The sequence below is a fragment of the Homo sapiens genome, chromosome 7 (assembly GCF_000001405.40).
Source record: "Homo sapiens chromosome 7, GRCh38.p14 Primary Assembly".
Lineage (NCBI taxonomy): Eukaryota > Metazoa > Chordata > Mammalia > Primates > Hominidae > Homo > Homo sapiens.
In genome coordinates, this window is record NC_000007.14 from 5,988,142 (window position 1) to 6,008,613 (window position 20,472).

Here is a 20,472-nt window from a genome sequence, read left to right on the forward strand (position 1 = left end):
GCTCACAAAGATCAGGATCAAGAGGAATGCCTGAATACCTCTGGTAGGAATGAACCTGGTACAGCTGCTTTGAAAAGTTCTCTGGGAATACCTCCTAAATCTGAATGTATGCACACCTGCAACCCAGCATAGCTACTCCTATCAGAAGTGCCTATTGGCCGGCACAGTGGCTCACGCCTGTAATCCTAGCCCTTTGAGGTCAGGAGTTCAAGACCAGCCTGACCAACATGGTGAAACCTCATCTCTACTAAAAATACAAAAAAAAAATTAGCAGGGCATAGTGGAATGCACTTATAATCCCAGCTACTAGGGAGAATGAGAATGAGGCAGGAGAATCACTTGAACCTGGAAGGCAGGGTTGCAGCGAGCCAAGATCACTCCACTGCACTCCAGCCTGGGCGACAGAGTGAGACTCCCTCTCAAAAAAAAGAAAGAAGTGCCTATCTATGCTCGTCAAAAAGACGTGGATGAGGATGTTCATGACAGCATTCTTCATTATAGCCCCAAACTGGAAACAATTCAAATATTCACAAATGATGATATCTGACTATAATGGAACACTGTATAGCGAACGAATAAATGAATTTTGCCACATGACTTGGGTGAATCTCACAAACAAAATAATGAGAGAAAGAAACAAATCACAGAAAAGGACAGACTGAATAACTTCAAATTAAAAACAGATTAAACTATACCGTTTTGGGTTTTTTTTGTTTGTTTGTCTGTTTTTTTGAGACGGAGTCTCGCTTTGTCACCCAGGCTGGAGTGCAGTGGCACAATCTTGGCTCACTGCAAGCCCCTCCTCCCGGGTTCACGCCATTCTCCTGAGTCAGCCTCCTGAGTAGCTGGGACTACAGGCGCCCGCCACCACGCCCGGCTAATTTTTTGTATTTTTAGTAGAGACAGAGTTTCACCGTGTTAGATAGTCTCGATCTCCTGACCTCGTGAGCCGCCCGCCTTGGCCTCCCAAAGTACTGGGATTACAAGCATGAGCCGCTGCGCCTGGCCTAAATTCTACTGTTAGAAGTCAGGAAATCCCAGCATTTTCAGAGGCCAAGGCTAGAGGACTGCTTGAGCTCAAGAGTTTGAGACCAGCCTGGGCATCATGGAGAAACCCCATCTCTAATGACAATACAAACATTAGCCAGGTGTGGTGGTGGGCGCCTGTAATCCCAGCTACTCAGGAGGCTGAGGCAGGAGAATCTCTTGAACGTGGGAGGCTTCAAGGTTGCAGTGAGCTGAGATCGCATCATTGCACTCCAGCCTGGGTGACAAGAGCGAAACTCCATCTCAAAAAAACAGACATGACAAGGGAGTTAAAAATGCAGTCACTGCAGACTTCTTCTAATCATATATCTTATATGACTTCATCCGTTTACAGTTTACAAAAAACTAGAGGTACTTGGAGGCAGCTACTTGGGAGGCTGAGGCAGGAAGATGGCCTGAGCCCAGGAGTGTGATGCTGCAGTGAGCTACAATGGCACCACTGCAGTCCAGCCTGGGTGACAGAGCAAGTCCCTGTCTCAAAAAAGAATTAAAAATGATAAAATAATATAAGAGACTTTGTTTTCATGTCAAAAAAAAGTTTACTTGGAAAAAATAAGGAAACACATTAGCTAAAAGCTTTAGAAGCTGTTTGTACACTGTATTTTTCTTACCTTCAACATCCAGCAGTGGCTGCTGACTGACATTTAGCTTGTTGACATCACTATCAAACATTCCTATCAAAGAGGTCTTTAAAACTGCCAACAAAAGCTTTTCCTCTTGTAGCAAAATTTGCCTTTTATCTGGAGTAACATTGATATCAACGCATTCTAAGGCAAAAAAGAAAACATATTTATTATGTTTAAATTCACTTTTATTTTATTTATTAATTATTATTTTCAGACAGCGTCTCACTCTGTCGCCTAGGCTGGAGTGCAGTGGCGCGATCTCAGCTCACTGCAACCTCCGCCTCCTGGGTTCAAGTGATTCTCCCTGCCTCAGCCTCCGAAGTAGCTAGGATTACAGGCAAGTGCCACCACACTGGCTAATTTTTGTATTTTTAGTAGAGATGGGGTTTCACCGTGTTGGCCAGGCTGGTCTCGAACTCACAACCTCAAGTGATCCACCCGCCTTGGCCTCCCAAAGTTCTGGGATTACAGGCGTGAGCCACCGCGCCCAGCCAAATTCACTTTTAACAATAGAAATTTCCCCATCTATTATTTCATTCACTTGTATTTATCACAAGTGCTATTAAAAACATTACAGTGTCCAGGTTAAGATTCATAAGTTATGAAATCAGCTTTTTCAAATAAATGAGCAAAAGACAATTTTTGAATAGACAAAATACGGAAGGGCTTAATTAGGTAAATTGTTAAAGGAAAAGCAAATAAACACATAAAAATAATTTTAAATATGCAAACTAAAATAAGATATTTTAATCCCCTACTGAATTTAGCTTAACAATTATAATACCTAGTACATTATAGGTAGGTGTGTAAATTGGTACATCTAGAACACAATACAGAAAAAGCCTTAAAATGATCATATTCACTGACCCAGTAATTCTACTCCCGGCAATTTATATTCAGAATAATTAAAGATGTAGGCTGAGTGCAGTGGCTCACACCCTGTAATCCCAGCACTTTGGGAGGCTGAGACGAACAGATAAGTTAAGGTCAGGAGTTCAAGACCAGCCTGGCCAACATGGCGAAACCCCGTCTCTACTAAAAACACAAAAAATTAGTCAGGCATGGTGGCAGGTGCCTGTAATCCGTGCTACTCAGGAGGCTGAGGCGGGAGAATCGCTTGAACTCAGGAATCGGAGGTTACAGTGAGCTGATATTACACCACTGCACTCCAGCTTGGGAGACAGAGCAAGACTCTGTCTCAAAAAATATCTAATAATAAAGATGCAGATAATGATTTAATTATAAGGAAAGTATTTATAATTTCCAAAAACTAAAAACAATTTAATTTTGAAAAATTTAAAAATTAAAATACCAAACTATAACCATGCATTGGAATATAATTCACCTATTAAAACCACATTTCTGATCAATTTCTAATAACATGGAAAAGAAAACATTCACATCTAAGGATAAAGAGCAGTATACAAAATTATTTTCTCATCCCAAAGAATATGGGAGTAGGGGAGAGAGAGAGAAAGAGAGAGAGGACAGAAGATATTTTTTAAGGTATGTACATATGTGTTTCTAAGTATCTAGAAAAAATACTCAATTACAATAAACCAAAATTTTAACAATCAGAAAAAAAAATCTATATGAAATGAATTATTTATGAAATTAGGAAGAACATTTCATCTACTTTCTCCCTTGGTTGACATTAAAAAAAATTACATTTTCCTAACAATATAATTAACATAGTCTCAAGTAGAAAGCGGGAACTCTGTTTAAAAAAAAAAAAAATTATAGGGCCAGGCACGGTGGCTCATGCCTGTAATCCCAGCACTTTGGGAGGCCAAGACGGGCAGATCACGAGGTCAGGAGATCGAGACCATCCTGGCTAACACGGTGAAACCCTGTCTCTACTAAAAATACAAAAAATTAGCCAGGTGTGGTGGCACGCACCTGTAGTCCCAGCTACTTGGGAGGCTGAGTCAGGAGAATCGCTTGAACCCGGGAGGCAGAGGTTGCAGTGAGCCGAGATCACGCCACCACACTCCAGCCTGGGTGACAGAGCAAGACCCCGTCTCAAAAAAAAACAAAAACAAAAAACTTACATGACCATAAATTGTTATCTCATTCCAGTCATAGCAGAGCTGTAGAATTTCATTTTATTCTTTGAGGCATTAGTCACTAGTTGTACTGAAATGCCAATGGAACTTACCTGAATCAACAGAAATGTTAAGAACAACAAATGGATACTGGTGTCGATTATACATGTGGTAGACCTCATTCACGAGTCTGCAGACCTGCACAAAATACAAGGAGTAGAAAAGAATAAATGACAAATGTTCCCAGCCCCCCGCATTCTAACAACATTCTATTCTAACCAACCAGCATGTTCTTAGAAGGGGATACTTTTTTGTTTTTTTTTTTTTTGAGTCAAGGTCTCGCCTTGTCACAGCCTGGAGTGCAGTGGAGCAATCATGGCTCACTGCAGCCTCAACCTCCCAGGCTCAAGTGATCCTCCTGTGTCAGCCTGACATGTAACTTGGATTACAGGCAGGATTTTTTTTTCTTTTTTTTTTTCAACGGAGTCTCGCTCTTGTTACCCAGACTGGAGTGTAATGGCACGATCTTGGCTCACTGCAACCTCTGCCTCCGGGGCTCAAGTGATTATCCTGACTCAGCCTCCAGAGTAGCTGGGATTACAGGCACACGCCACCATGACCAGATAATTTTTGTGTTTTTAGTAGAGATGGGGTTTCACCATGTTGGCCAGGCTGGTCTCGAACTCCTGACCTCAGTTGATCCGCCCGCCTCAACCTCCCAAAGTGCTGGGATTATAGGCGTAAGCCACTACACCTGGCCTAAGGATACATTTTTTTAACAGCTTTACTGAGATATGACTAACATGGAATAAACTACACATATTTAAAGTGTGCAATTTCATAAGTTTTGACATATACACAAACACCTGTGAAACTATCCCCACAATCAAGATAATGAATATATCCATCACCAAAAGTTTCCTCACAATCTCAAAGTGATATTTCTCTAATCATAGATTCCTAAAACTGAATATTTTTCCAACTTAAAGTTGCTCTATGAGAAATTCTAGTGAAATGCAAGTGCAGCTTAAATGTTCATAAAACATATTCAATGTACATAGAAAAGTATCTATGACATTAAAATGTCATTAGAAATAAACCAAAATATCACATTATTAATAGTTATAATTAATAATTATGAATCCATCACACTATAGGTTAAAAAATTTAGAAGTTCAACCACATCTGGCAGATTACAAGCAAACTCTAAAGCATCATTGAAAAACAGGGGCTGGGAGCGGTGGCTCACGCCTGTAATCCCAGCACTTTGGGAGGTCAAGGCAGGTGGATTGCCTGAGCTCAGGAGTTCTTGACTAGCCTGGGCAACACAGTGAAACCCCATCTCTACTCAAATACAAAAAATTAGCCAGGCATGGCAGCATGTGCCTATAATCCCAGCTACTTGAGAGGCTGAGGCAGGAGAATTGCTTGAACCTGGGAGGGAGAGCTTGCAGTGAGCCAAGATCACGTCACTGCACTCTAGCCTGGGCGACAGAGCTAGACTCCGTCTCAAAAAAAAAAAAAAAAAAAAGAAAGAAAGAAAAAAAAACAAAATATTACTGAGGTACAATGTGTTGCTAAGATACAAACTCAAAAAACCCATGTCATCATATCAAGATGATCAATTTAAATCTGAGGCAGAAGTAATCTGAGCCCTTATTTTCCTAGGAAAATAGAAAGAAGAGAAAATATAGAAATCTATAGAAAATATAGAAACCATGGGCCGGGCGCGGTGGCTCATGCCTGTAATCCCAGCACTTTGGGAGACAGAGGCGGGTGGATCACGAGGTCAGGAGTTCGAGACCAGCCTGGCCAATGTGGTGAAACCCCGTATCTACTAAAAATACAAAAATTAGCCGGGTGTGGTGATGCGTGCCTGTAGTCCTAGCTACTAGAGAGGCTGGGGCAGGAGAATGGCGTGAACCTGGGAGGCGGTGCTTGCAGTGAGCAGAGATCATGCCACTGCACTCCAGCCTGGGGGTGACAGAGCGAGACTCTGTCTCAAAAAAAAAAAAAAAAAAAAAAAAAGGAAATATAGAAACCATGTAATCAGTCTATACTGAAAGGTGACATAGAATGTTATAAAATGTTTAGTTTCTTCAAATAGTTTTAGTTTTTACAATAATAAATATACTGGTAATATGTGTTTATATATTTATGTATCTATACACACAACACATATAATGTATATATGCAGATACAAACACACTCACGTATATGCAATTTAAAAAACTATACAGAGGCCAGGCGCGGTGGTTCACGCCTGTAATCCCAGCACTTCGGGAGGCCAAGGCAGGCAGATCACGAGGTCAGGATTTCAAGACCATCCTGGCCACATGGTGAAATTCCGTCTCTACTAAAGACACAAAAACTTAGCCGGGCGTGGTGGCGCGCGCCTGTAATCCCAGCTACTTGGGAGGCTGAGGCAGGAGAATCGCTTGAACTCGGGAGGTGGAGGTTGCAGTGAGCCAAAATCGCACCATTGCACTCCAGACTGGCCAACAGGGCGAGACTCCATCTCAAAAAAAAACCCAAAAAACAACAACAAAAAAAACTGTACACAGATAGATGCGCTCCTTAACTTATGATAGGGTTATGTCCTGATAAACCCATAAGTTAAAAATATTGTATCTGCTGGGCGCGGTGGCTCACACCTGTAATTCCAGCACTTTGGGAGGCCGAGGTGGGCGGATCACGAGGTCAGGAGATCAAAACCATCCTGGCTAACAAGGTGAAACCCCGTCTCTACTAAAAATACAAAAAAAAATTAACCAGGCGTGGTGGCAGGCACCTGTAGTCCCAGCTACTCGGGAGGCTGAGGCAGGAGAATGGCGTGAACCTGGGAGGCGGAGCTTGCAGTGAGCCGAGACCACGCCACTGCACTCCAGCCTGGGTGACAAACAAGACTCCGTCTCAGAAAAAAAAAAAGAAAGAAAAGAAAATACTGTATGTCAAAAATGCCTTTGTGATAACCTAACCTACTGAATGTCCCATCTCAGCCTTGCCTCAGAATACTTACATAGTCTATAGGCAAAATAACCTATTTTATAATAAAATGTTGAATATCTTCTGTAATTTATTGAATACTATACCGAAAAACAATGGTTCAATAGGTACTTGAAGTATGGTATCTACTGCAAAAAATAACTTCTGCAACAAGGTAAAGTAGTAGAAAAAAATATATATATATTTTTTTGAAACACAGTCTCGCTCTGTCACCCAGGCTGGAGTGCAGTGGCATAATCTCGGCTTACTGCAAGCTCCATCTCCCAGGTTCAAGTGATCCTCCTGCCTCAGCCTCCCATGTAGCTGGGATTACAGGCGTGGAACACCATGCCTGGTTATTTTTTGTATTTTAGTAGAGACGGGGTTTTGTCATGTTGGCCAGGCTGGTCTCGAACTCCTGGCCTCAGGCAATCCACCCGCCTCGGCCTCCCAAAGTGCTGGGATTACAGGCATGAGCCACTGCGCCCGGACAGAAAAGTCTTCAGTTGAAACATCTGAAGCTGGGGGCCATCTGCGGTAGACTTCTGTAAATGCACAAAATAAGATAATGTTAAAGCCATGTTTCTCAAAGTCCCGAGCTCCACGTAAACTGCCTATTATCAGAAAAAAGTTATCAATTAAAAGTCAAAGGCATAAAGAACAAACTAACACAAAAAAATTTTAAATACCTTTGCTGGGTCACAAGGCCGCCGGTTGATAAAGAAAAACTGTCTGTCTGTTGAACTCCTTCCAACTCCATGCGTGCATTGTGAAATGAAACCTGAGATGCTATTCAACATTAATATGGTAAGGGCAGGATTCCAGAGTGAAAGGGATTAGAAATACGATCACATGGCACATTCTTAAAGTGAAATGAAAACAAAACACCAGGTGACATGCTGATAAGGATCACTATTGCAGTTCACGGGTATCTGTGCTCCAAATCTTGATGAGTCATCAAAGAACCAAACCTTCTGGAATATTCTAAAGCTCCTACAGTCAACCAATGCACCACAGGTGATGCAGTGCGTCCAAAACTGATGTGTTGCAGCTCTCCTTACCCTTCCTGATAAATCCTCAGCCTCTGTAAGTGGGTCTCGCTTCAAATGCATTCTCAGAACCTCCGTGCTGCCACCCCTGGTTTGTCAATGAAGTCTAACCACTTGTGCTCAGAATTTTGCCCACATTCCCTCCCCTTTCAAAACCTCCCGGGTAGGACGCTTATATCTCATGTCTTGGTAAAGCGCTTGCTTCACATGAGACCCACCCCAGGGATACCGGCATTTCCAGAAGAACACCACCTTCACATAAAGACATAAAGCTCCATGTTTACCATTTCAGGCATAAGCCAAAAGCAAGTGGAGGAAGAGTAAGAAATATAGATCTCAAGGCAACAAACAAACAAACAAAAAGAAATACAGATCTTAGGCTGGGTGTGGTGGCTCATGCCTGTAATTCCAGAGCCTTGAGAGGCCAAGGTGGGTGGATCACCTGAGGTCAGGAGTTCAAGACCAGCCTGGGCAACATGGCGAAACCCCGTCTCCACTAAAAATACAAAAAATCAGCCGGGCATGGTGGTGAACACCTGTAGTCCCAGCTTCTCGGAAGGCTGAGGCAGGAGTATCGCTTGAACCTGGGAGGCAGAGGTTGCAGGGAGGCAGAGGTTGCAGTGAGCCAAGATCACGGCACTGCACTGCAGCCTAGGCAACAAAGCAAGACTCCATCTCAAAGCTAAAAAAAAAAAAAATATATATATATATATATATATACACACAGATAGATAGATATCTTTACAGGACCAATCCTATTTATGGAAGTGTCTATTTTCTTATACGAAAAGTAATGACACTGAACTGCCTTCATCAGATGCCAGGAAAGTCAAAATCATTTAAAATGATAAAATAATTTACAAGTTAGTCTAACTAAACAGAGCCTTAAAGAAGACCTGCTCAACAGAAAACCACCTGAAATATACCACTTACTCAAAACATGGTTTGAATTAAGCAACTGACTCCTTTGTATAAATCATCTTTCTTAGCCACAGCATTGCTCACAGTTTTATAAAGGACATAAAAAACTATTATCCCTAGCCAGGCGTGGTGGCTCATGCCTGTAATCCCAGCACTTTGGGACACCAAGGTGGGCGGATCATCTGAGGTCAGGAGTTCGAGACCAGCCTGGCCAACATGGTGAAACCCCGTCTCTACTAAAAATACAAAATTAGCCGGGTGTGGTGGCACGTGCCTGTAATCCCAGCTACTCAGGAGGCTGAGGCAGGAGAATTGCTTGAACTCAGGAGGTAGAGGTTGCAGTGAGCCAAGATAGCACCATTGCACTCCAGCCTGGGCAACAAAGCAAGACTCCGTCTCAAGAAAAAAAAAAAAAGACACGAAACTATTAGCCTTAGAATCACTATCTTTAAAAAAAAAGCTCTCAGGATAAAATGTTCAATTGTAGTTCTCTTGCCAGCAATCTACTTACTAAAAAAGATTATGCAGAGCATCGGAACAGCTCAAACCGTACTCTTCACACACGGAGTCACTAGGGGGCAGCTGAACAAAAGGAATGAGGCTTTGCAACTGAAAAAAAAAAAAAAAAATTCACAGTTACTTCCTAATAAAGACAGAGTGGACTTAATCTGTTTTCTTTCTTAGTCAAGCTATTGACATTACAAGCGCAAAAAAAATTAAAAGAATCTTTTGTTTTGTTTTGTTTTTTGAGACAGGGTCTCCCTCTATTGCCCAGGCTGGAGTACAATGGCTCAATCATACCTCACTGCAATGTCAAACTCGTGGGTTCAAGCAATCCTCCTGCGTCAGCCTGTCGAGTGAGTAGCTGGGACTACAGGTGCACACCACCACACCTGGCTAATTTTTTAATTTTTTTGTAGAGATGGGATCTTGCCGTGTTATCCAAGCTGGTCTTAAATTCCTGGGCTCAAGCGATTCTCCCACCTCAAAATTGTTGGCCGGGTGGTTCAAACACATAATCCCAACAGTTTCCTCTCCCAGAGTGCTGGGATTACATGTGTGAGCCGTGGGAACAACAATTTTGATTTTATGATATAAGAAAGATGAAACAAGTACCTACTTATTCAGAACCCACACATTGCCCACAATAACTTATATTTTTTTCAGAGAGAGAGTGAAAAGACGCAGTATACGAGTGTCTCTGGAAGAATAAAATGAAACACATTCAGCTCTCAAACATCAATTTTTGTGATAGGTACTTTGTTTTTTTTTTTTTTTTTTTCCTGGGATGGTGTCTTGCTCTCTCGCCCAGGCTGCAGTGCAGTGGTGCAATCTCAGCTCACTGCAACCTCCATCTCCCGGGTTCCAGCGACTCTCCTGCCTCAGCCTCCTGAGTAGCTGGGATTACAGGTGCCTGCCACCACGAACAGATAATTTTTGTATTTTTAGTAGAGATGGGGTTTCACCATATTGATCAGGCTGGTCTCAAACTCCTGACCTCGTGATCCGCCCACCTCAGCCTCCCAAAGTGCTGGGATTACAGACGTGAGCCACTGCGCCGGGCCTTGTGATAGGCACTTTAAAAATCAATTCTTAATCTGGGCGCAGTGGCTCACGTCTGTAATCCCAGCACTTTGGGAGGCCGAGGCAGGCGGATCACTAGAGGTCAGGAGTTCGAGGCCAGTCTGGCCAACAAGATGAAACCCCATCTCTACTAAAAATACAAAAAATTAGCTGGGCCTGGTGGCATGTGCCTGTAATCCCAGCTACTCAGGAGGCTAAGGTAGGAGAATTGCTTCAACGCGGGAGGCAGAGGTTGCAGTGAGCCAAGATGGCGCCACTGCACTCCAACCTGGGCAACAGAGCAAGACTCCAGCTCAAAAAAAAAAAAAACCGGCCGGGCTTGGTGGCTCACACCTGTAATCCCAGCACTTTGGGAGGCCGAGGCTGGTGGATCACGAGGTCAGGAATTCGAGACCAGCCTGGCCAACACGGTGAAACCCCGTCTCTACTAAAGATACAAAAAATTAGCCTGGCGTAGTGGAGCATGCTTGTAATCCCACTACTCGGGAGGCTGAGGCAGGAGAATTGCTTGAATCTGGGAGGCGGAGGTTGCAGTGAGCCAAGACAACACCACTGCACTCCAGCCTGGGCAGCAGTGCGAGACTCCCTCTCAAAAAAAAAAAAAAAATCAATTCTAAGATTTTATTCTCCATTCTACTGGAAGGGACAATGGAAACCCGCTATAATCACTAGAGCAATAAGAGGCGTTGAAGTAACCGGCCATCACTACCTGCTTCTGCCCAAACACAGAGCCGATATTTTCCTTTATGCTGGGGCTTCCACCTGTGCATACCACAGGCTGTCGTTTTCCTTGTCCAAGCTGATTGGTGCAACTTACACGGATGCCTGCTGAAATGATACAGTATGCATGTAAGACCTGGACCATTTTGGCATACTCCTGTTTAAAAAACACAAACACAATATTCTACATTACTTTAATATTATAGGAATTACACAGCTCAAGTTACAACATCCAACGCAAGGTTCTCACATCATCGCACAAATCAAGGGAAGCACTGTTGACAGAATGATCTGTAAAGAGGTGTCTTCCTATATTCTACAGAAAGGAACGCAGAGCTTTTGGCTCCTGGTCACAGTCCTCTCACTTCCCAATGTGCCATGCATCCTGGTAAAACAACTAAAAAGTACAGCCTGTAATCCCAGCTACTCAGGAGGCTGAGGGCAGGAGGATCACTTGAGACCAGGAGTTCAAGACCAGCCTGGGCAACACAGCAAGACCCTGTCTCTACAAAAAATTTAAAAAAAAAATTAGCCGGGCGTCATGGCATGTGCCTGTAGTCACAGCTACTGAGGAGGCTGAGGTGGGAGGATCGCTTGAGCCTAGGAGTTCAAGGCTGCAGTGAGCCATGATTGCACCACTGCACTCCAGCCTCGGTGACAGAGTGAGGCCCTATCTCTAAAAATGAAAATTAAAAAACTGAAACGTACATTGTGTTTGATTTTATAATCTCTCCTTTTGAAATGTATCTTCGTATAATAGAAACACTGGCACAAGCATTTTGGTATGCAAAGAGATACACAAAAATGTTCACTGAAACAATCTCTATGAACAAACAGAAACAACCTAAGCAAGCATCATTGAGGAGTTGATTAATTATGGTATAGCCATAGCGCAGCAGAATGACAACAAATAAGGCAGTGTGCACCGACTAAAAAAGACAATCACAATATGCTAAGTAAAAAGTCAGTTATAGGGCCAGGCATGATGGTTCACACCTGTAATCCCAGCACTTTGGGAGGCTGAGGCGGGAGGATCACTTGAGCCCACGAGTTCGAGACCTGCCTGGGCAACACAGAAGGACCCATCTCTACAAAAAAAACAAAAATTAGCCGGGCATGGTAGCACGGGCCTGGAGTCCCAGCTACTTGGGAGGCTGAAGTGGGAAGATTCATTGAGCCTGGGAGATCATGGCTGCGGTAAGCTGAGATTGTGCCACTACATCCCAGCCTAGGTGAGAGAGCAAGACCCTGTCTCAATTAAAAAAAAAAAAAAAAAAAAAATACAACTTTCAACCACATACAATTCTGTATTACTTGCATGTTGTACATTCTATATTACTTGCTTTCATTATATTAACTTATGAATTTATCTTGAAAATTATTCCAACAGTTATAAACACATGAAATTAAAAGCAGCCTGAAAAGATATACAAACTGTAAATAACAGTTATCTCTGACAAATAGAAGTTCTACATTCCTGTATTCTGCTAAGGCACTAATTTTTTTACCATAAGATACAAAAAAAGAGTAAGTTTTCTCTACTTTAGAAAATTTAAATTTGTGAAAAAATGTAATAAAGTTAAAATTAGCAGCCAAGTGCAGTGGCTCACACCTGTAATCCCAGCACTTTGGGAGGCTGAGGCAGGTGGATCACTTGAGGTCAGGGGTGCAAGACCAGGCTAGCCAACATGGTGAAACTCCATCTCTACTAAAAATACAAAAATTAGCTGGGCGTGGTGGCGCACACCTATAATCCCAGCTACTCGAGAGGCTGAGGCAGGAGAATCACTTGAACCCAGGAGGTGGAGGTTGCAGTGAGCCGAGATCGCACCACTGCACTCCAGCCTGGGCGACAGAGTGAGAAGACTCCATCTAAAAAAAAAGAAAGTTAAAATTAGCACCAAATGCTTTACAAGTAAAAAAAGTTTTTAGCTGCATATGTTTAAGTAACTTTTTAGATTATGAAAAACACACATACAAAATGGGAAGGCACAAAGAAGACAGCAAAAACTGCATGAGATCTCACATCCAAGGATAACTGCTGAGAACATGAAAGTGCCGAGTCTTCCAGCCTTTATACTATACACATTTAGGCTTGTTGTTTTGTTTTCACAAAATTGTAATCAAATAATACAGACAGTTCTATAATCTGCTTTTTAAACACAACGACTATATAACATTTAGCTATTTTCATTTGCATTCAAATTCATAAGGGTTCTAATAGCTCATTTCTCAGAAAACCAAGAGAAATATTCTTTTTTTTTTTTTTTTGAGATGGGGTCTGGCTCTGTGCCCAGGCTGGAGTGCAATAGCTTGATCTCGGCTCACCGCAACCTCTGCCTCCCGGATTCCAGCGATTCTCCTGCCTCAGCCTCCCAAGGAGCTGGGACTACAGGCACATGCCACCATGCCCAGCTAATTTTTGTATTTTTAGTAGAGATGGGGTTTCACCAGTTTGGCCAGGATGGCTTTGATCTCTTGACCTCGTGATCCACCCGCCTCAGCCTCCCAAAGTGCTGGGATTACAGGTGTGAGCCACTGTGCCTGGCCGAGAAATATTCTTATTAAAATATAAGTACATAAGGCCAGGCATGGTGGCTCAGGCCTGTAATCCCAGCACTTTGAGAGGCCAAGGTGGGCAGATCACCTGAGGTCAGGAATTCGAGACCAGCCTGGCCAGCCTGGACAACATGGTGAAACCCCGTCTCTACTAAAAATACAAAAATTAGCCAGCTGTGGTGGTACACGCCTGTAATTGCAGCTACTCAGAAGGCTGAGGCAGGAGAATCGCTTGAACTCAGGAGGTGGAGGTTGCAGTGAACCAAGATCGCGCCACCGCACTCCAGCCAGGGCGCCAAAGAGAAACTCCATCTCAAAAAAAGATAAAAATAAAAAATAAAAAATATATATATATGTATATATATTTTTCCAGACAGGATCTTATTCTGTCTCCCAGTCTTAAGTGCAGTGGCGCAATCATAGCTCACTGCAGCCTCAAGTTCCTGGGCTCAAGTGATCCTCCCACTTCAGCCTCCCAAGTAGCTGGAACTACAGGTACATGTCACCATGCCCAGTAAATTTTTTTTTAAAATTTTTCATAGAGACAGGGTCTCACTGTGTTGCCCAGTCCTAATAAACACTATGTGATGAAAAGAAAAAAGTAAATCATCCTAAAGTTAAGTCTTTAATGTTAAATCTTTAATGAGAAATGCAAATAAAGCATTTCTCAATAATTTATGGGAAGAGAATCAACTGAAGAATAAACATCTTTAGTAAATCTTTTGCTCATGTGCATTAACCAATACTCTTGAAAACCAGGATTAATTTACTGTACCTTCTTAATATTCCTTTGAAATTCCTTATGGCGCACAGGTAGTGTGGAAAATAACTGCTGCACGCTGACTGTGGTCCCTCTGGGGCGGGGGTAGGGGGTTTTCTGGATAATTTTCCCATTGTGATCAAACATCAGTCGAGTTCCAACCTTCGCCGATGCGTGGCAGGTAGAAATGGTGACATCGCTGTGAGAGAATACCAGGCATGGTGTGTTCAGTGAGAGACCCATGATGTTGGGCACTGACTACTCTTTTCTTCACTTGCTTTTCTCTCAAAATTTTCTTAAAAAGCTGACGATCCCTCTGAGATAATCAAGATCTAAATGGTTGAGGAGTCATCATAAAATCTAAGGTTTGGCATCTAAAAGACAGTGAGACAGAGAGCACTAAACATGCTTTGCTTTGATAAAAGCTTTGATTTCGTTTTTCAGGTTGAACTGCAAAACCATAAATGATCTTAAGATTTATTTATTCACAAACACAGATTTGTTTTGTTATTACTCTTCGAACAAATTTTTTTTAAAGAATCTAACAAATATTATAATTAAAATGTATATGTAGGGCAGAGCGTGGTGGCTCATGCCTGTTATCCCAGCACTTTGGGAGGCCAAGGCAGGCAGATCACTTGAGGCCAGGAGTTTGAGACCAGCCTAGGCAACATGGTGAAATCCCATCTCTACTAAAAATACAAAAATTAGCCAGGAGTGGTGGTGCATGCCTATAGTACCAGCTCCTCAGGAGGCTCAGGCACGAGAATCACTTGAACCTGGAAGGCAGAGATTGCAGTGAGCCGAGACTGTGCCACTGCACTCCAGCCTGGGTGACAAAGAGAGACTCTGTCTAAAAAAAAAAAAAGATATATATATATATATATAATTATTTATAAAAATTTCATATCTGTGCTATAATTAAATAGTGCTTTGGTGAAATGTTTCCCTAAAAATTGATAATGAAAACCAATGGTAACTATCATTTATTATCTACATGTTAGGTTAAAATTGAGAATTACTGTTTTAATAAGGGTAACCATCTTTTTAACAATACTATTTGCTTCATTTCATTCATTTATTGCTCACATTTCAGAAGTACTATGACTTAGATTGGCAGCGAGACAAAACAGAATTCAGAAGCTAGAAGTTGAGATGTTGAGATAGAAAACTGAAAATAATAATGATTCCAATTAATTTTCAGAGAGGTTTCTCTAAGGGGTCAAGTGAGTGGATAAAAATATTGTATCACCTCAGTGCACAAAGTGAGCTCAGAGCTTCCCCCCGAAAGCCAAAAGTTTCAACCTGAGTTAGGTCGGCAAACTCTTGAATCTTAGATGTGTGATGTTTCAGAGCTGAAAGAGAGTGTAAAGTAAGGACTAAGATATCTCAAGTGCTATAACAACAAAATATACATGATATCTAGTAACTGGCTTTAAAAAACTGTTTTTGCATTTCCCAAGACAGTGTTACTCAAAATTCTGAGACATGTGACCCAATTATTTTATAATAGGATTAGAAAAAGTCAACTTACTTAAGCCTTCGAAGTTTTCTTCTTCTACCCCACATCCATTGTCTGAAACTTCAATAAGATCCACTCCATAGTCCTTAAGCTTTAGATCTAGAAAGTTTAAAATATTTACATATTTATTAAAAACGGACCCATGCTATCAGTTTTTATATTGACATTATTTATAACATATGCAAATTTAAGAGTCATAACTATACCTTTAGTTAAACATACTAGTGTCATTTTGTATATTTCATTGTTATAAAGTCCTTTCTGGCTATTTACTAGCCCAGACTAAATAGTTTAGCTTTTTCTTTCTTTCCTCTTTTTTTTTCCCTAGGCTAGTGAAGTGAAGCAGTTGGAGTGGAGAAGGAACAAAAAAAATCTGTAACTGGTGGTGATCAATTAGCTGTAAACCGCGTTGCACTTTGACCATCCTTTTCTTTTGAAAGAAATAATTTTAACATACCCAATAAAGAGAACGGGGACCGGGTGCAGTGGTTCATGCCTGTAATTCCAGCACTTTGGGAGGCCAAAGCGAGCAGATCACCTGAGGTCAGGAGTTCGAGACCAGCCTGACCAACATGGAGAAACCCTGTCTCTACTAAAAATACAAAATTAGCCAGGCTTGGTGGCGCATGCCTGTCATCCCAGCTACTCAGGAAGCTGAGGCAGGAGAATCACTTGAACCCAGGAGGTGGAGGTTGCAGTGAGCCGAGATCGTGCCATTGCACTATAGCCTGGGCAACAAGAGCAAAACTCTATCTCAAAAAAAAAAAAAAAAAGAGAATGGGTTCTGGAATCAGACTTCCTGGATCCTATTTTATCAGCTTTATAATCTCAAAAAAAGGAAATTTCCTATCCCCTAATTTCCTCATTTGTAAAATAGAGAATAATAAGTTCTATCTCATAAAGTTATTCTGCAGATTAATAATTCTTTGGTTTTTTTTATTTTATTATTCTTTTCTTTTCTTTTGAGATGGAGTTTTGCTCGTCACCCAGGCTGGAGTGCAGTGGTACGATCTTGGCTCACTGCAGCCTCCACCTCCCAGGTTCAAGCAATTCTCCTCCTTCAGCGTCCTGAGGAGCTGAGATTACAGCCATGCACCACCACATCTGGCTAATTTTTGTATTTTTAGTAGAGACAGGGTTTCATCATGTTGGTTAGGCTGGTCTAGAACTCCTGACCTCAAATGATCAGCCCCCCTCAGCCTCCCAAAGTGCTGGTATTACAGATGTGAGCCACTACTCCAGCCCTATTTTGTTTTATGTTTTTGAGATGGAATCTTGCTCTGTCCCCAGGCTGGCATGCAGTGGCACGATCTCGGCTTACTGCAACCTCCGTCTCTCGGCTTCAAGCAATTCTCGTGCCTCAGTGTCCCAAGTAGCTGGGATTACAGGCTTCTGCCACCAGGTCCAGCTAATTTTTGTATTTTTAGTAGAGACAGAGTTTCACCACTTTGGACAGGCTGGTCTCGAACTCCTGACCTCAGGTATCCACCCGCCTTGGCCTCCCAAAGTGCTGGGATTACAGGCGTGAGCCACTATGCCTGGCCTACTTTATTTTTCAATAGAGACAAGGTCTCACCATGTTGGCCAGGTTGGTCTTGAACTCTTGGCCTCAAGCAATTCCCCCACCTCGGCCTCTCAAAGGGCTAGGATTATAGGCGTGAGACACCACGCCCAGCTGTTCTGCAAATTAAATATTTCTGTGCAATTCTTAGCATAACACCTGCCTGGCACACCGTAAGAACACAATAAAAGCTGTTATTATTATTACTACCTAGCTAAGTACTAGGCACATAATAGGTGCTAACTTCAACTTAAAAATAATAATTTATTACTACATCAACACTTGATAGTCTTATTTCAATAACAAATGTTTCTTAACTACAACAACATTCACAGATCATTTCTTGTGGCTTAAAACTCTCCCAAACTTACCAATATTAGTGGCACCAGCATCCAGACTGTTTTCTACTAACTCCTTTACCGCAGTGCTTAGACTCAGTACCACCTGCCCAGAGCAAATCTGATGGACTGACTTCCGATCAATAGGTTTGATGGCCTTAGCAGGTTCTGTACTAGAGAAATCAGTTACAAGAAACAAATCAAGTATTCAGCTATATATTTTCATCCTGATTTTAACTGTGGGAAATGACTCAACACTGTAAATAATTTATGGGTCTAATCTATTCATTTATTATATTAGCAAATACATTTATTATATCCAGAAATAGAAACACTGTTTTACAATCCTTAAACATGTACCCAAAATACTTCTGGATAGATACTTCAAATTCAACAGATCCTTACTATCTAATTATACTAAGATCCACATGGAGAAAACATACATTGTATCTCTCAAATTACCAAAATCTTTGGCAACAATGGTGTCTTCTTTCTTGAAAAGTGAAAGCATGGCTGGCTGTGGTGGCTCATGCCTGTAATCCCAGCACTTTGGGAAGCAGAGATGGGTGGATAACTTGAGGTCAGGAGTTCGACACCAGCCTGGCCAACACGGTGAAACCCCGTCTTTACTAAAAATACAAAAAATTAGCCAGGCATGGTGGTGGGCACCTGTAATCCTAGCTACTCAGGAGGCTGAGGCAGGAGAATCGCTTAAATCCAGGAGGCGGAGGTTGCAGTGAGCTGAGATTGCGGCATTGCACTCCAGCCTGGGCAACGAGCAAAAAAAAAAATGAAAGTAACATAATTTCCCAACATAATTAGAAAAACCAACAGTATGCTGGGAAATACACAATGTTTAAGTCAAAATCATCTCAGAAATTGGGTACCAGTTATATAACTATTCCTTATACACAGTTGCCTTTGATACCCCACTCCAAACTGAAGCTGCCAGCTGCTGTCTTAGCAAAGACCCTCAAAGCTCTTGCTGTACTAGCTTTAAGAGTTTTATAAAGGTTTTATCTCCCCTTATTCCCTGCTCCAATACATCCTCCACTCTATCACCAGAGCTATTTTTGAAATCACAAATCTGGTCAAATAATTTTTCTGCTTAAAAATTTACTAGTGCCCCACTTCCTACTATATGAAAGTTAAAATTTAGTCATCATTGGGGCCAAAACTACCTTCTTTTCAGAATCTCTCTAATCCTTTCCCTTCATCAAGTCCCCTACATTATTATTATTATTATTATTATTATTGTTATTATTGTTATTATTTGAGACAGAGTCTCACCCCGTTGCCTATGCTAGAGGGCAATGGCATGAGCTCAGCTCACTGCAACCTCCGCCTCCCAGGTTCAAGCGATTCTCCTATCTCAGCCTCCCAAGTAGCTGGGATTACAGGCGCCCACCATCACACCCAGCTAATTTTTGTGTTTTTAGAAGAGATAGGGTTTCACCATGTTGGCCAGGCTGGTCTCGAACTCCTGACCTCAGGTGATCCGCCTGCCTCGGCCTCCCAAAGTGCTAGGATTACAGGGGACCGCAACCAGCCATCCCCTATATTGTAGCACAGTGAACAACTGTCCTGAACATCACAAGCTCTTTGAGACACTACAGTGTATAAGCAGGTCTCTGTCTAAACCGCTCTCCTCTTCCTCCTCTGCCCAAACAATGTCTGCTCAAAGAATGTATCCCGTGTGTTCATTAACTTAGCAATTTCCAGCAAACAGTTTAATTGATAACTTGTTAAGAGAAGGCAGGAAACCTCCATGAAAGAGAAATCACTGGGTATTTCCTACAGCATTTAACACATCGTAGGCCTTTAATAAACCCTTCTGAAATAAACAAACCTCTTTACTCTTCATTCCACCTTGCTAAGAATCTCACCTAAGTCTGTCTACCATGTGAAACTGCAGATGACCTCACAGAAAATGGAAAGAAGTATCTCTAAAAATAAGTTTATTTGGCAGCACACTATAGGCTACAGGTCCACTTCTGATTTTTTTTTTTTTTTTTTTTTGAGACCGAGTCTTGCTGCGTTGCCCAGGCCGGACTGCAGTGGCACGATCTCAGCTCACTGCAACCTCCGCCTCCTGGGTTCCAGCGATTCTCCTGCCTCAGCCTCCAAAGTAGCTAGGATTACAGGCTCCCGCCATCATGCCCAGTTAATTTTTGTATTTTTAGTAGAAACGGATTTCACCATGTTGGCCAGGCTGGTCATGAACTCCTGACTTCATGATCCACCCGCCTTGGCCTCCCAAAGTGCTGGGATTATAGGCGTGAGTCACCGCTCTCGGCCCACTTCAGATATTTATTTTGAGGAGGGAGCGCATTTAGACACAGACCCCAAATTTATTTAAATGTCTCAATACATTTAAATGTAGTTACCTAAATATATCTAATATATTTAAATGCAGAGAGCAAATTTGCGTTTACAAATCTGACATGGAATGCAAATGTGCTAGCCAAGATTCGGTGTAGCTTACCAGCCAGAAATCACACATCCTAACAGGTAGAAACGTATTGCATTTTTAAAAACTGCGCAGCTATGCAAATAAGGATGTGTCTGGACGCTCTACCGTCCCCAAAATAACCTTAATTTTTTAAAAAGGCCAGGCACGGTGCATCATGCCTTTAATTCCAGCACTTTGAGGGGCCAAGGCGGGCGGATTGCTTGAGCTCAGGCGTTCGAGACCAGCCTGGGCAACGCAGCGAAATCCCCGTCTCTACAAAAAAAAATTAAAAATAAAATACTA

The 20,472-nt window shown here is 42.1% G+C and overlaps 1 protein-coding gene across 65 annotated transcripts in view, besides 1 other annotated feature; it reads right to left on the reverse strand.

The window, feature by feature from the left end:
- PMS2 (PMS1 homolog 2, mismatch repair system component) overlaps positions 1-20,472 on the reverse strand; it is a 38,182-nt gene that overhangs the window by 17,217 nt on the left and 493 nt on the right. For 7 of the 65 annotated variants that reach the window (NR_136154.1, NM_001406872.1, NM_001406871.1 and 4 more), the window contains exons 2-10: positions 17,751-17,890; positions 15,831-15,917; positions 15,549-15,651; positions 14,312-14,495; positions 10,967-11,134; positions 9,185-9,282; positions 7,393-7,492; positions 3,832-3,916; positions 1,659-1,814 (exon numbers count right to left, since the gene is read on the reverse strand). Coding sequence is in view for 64 of the 65 variants with exons in the window: in NM_001406872.1 (NP_001393801.1) it covers positions 1,659-1,814; positions 3,832-3,916; positions 7,393-7,492; positions 9,185-9,282; positions 10,967-11,134; positions 14,312-14,495; positions 15,549-15,651; positions 15,831-15,917; positions 17,751-17,890 (1,121 nt within the window). In the remaining variant the exon portion in view is untranslated. Of the gene's footprint in view, positions 1-1,658; positions 1,815-3,831; positions 3,917-7,392; positions 7,493-9,184; positions 9,283-10,966; positions 11,135-14,311; positions 14,671-15,548; positions 15,676-15,830; positions 15,918-17,750; positions 17,891-18,160; positions 18,485-19,603; positions 19,629-20,202; positions 20,443-20,472 lie in introns of those variants that run through there. The other 58 variants (NM_001406910.1, NM_001406908.1, NM_001322003.2 and 55 more) reach the window with 46 other exon arrangements.
- Positions 19,331-20,022: an enhancer, noted in NCBI's record as "H3K4me1 hESC enhancer chr7:6047103-6047794 (GRCh37/hg19 assembly coordinates)". NCBI's record gives its function as "activates a minimal SCP1, AML or CMV promoter by ChIP-STARR-seq in naive H9 embryonic stem cells {active_cell/tissue: H9 hESC(naive)}" and the evidence as "EXISTENCE:reporter gene assay evidence [ECO:0000049][PMID:30033119]".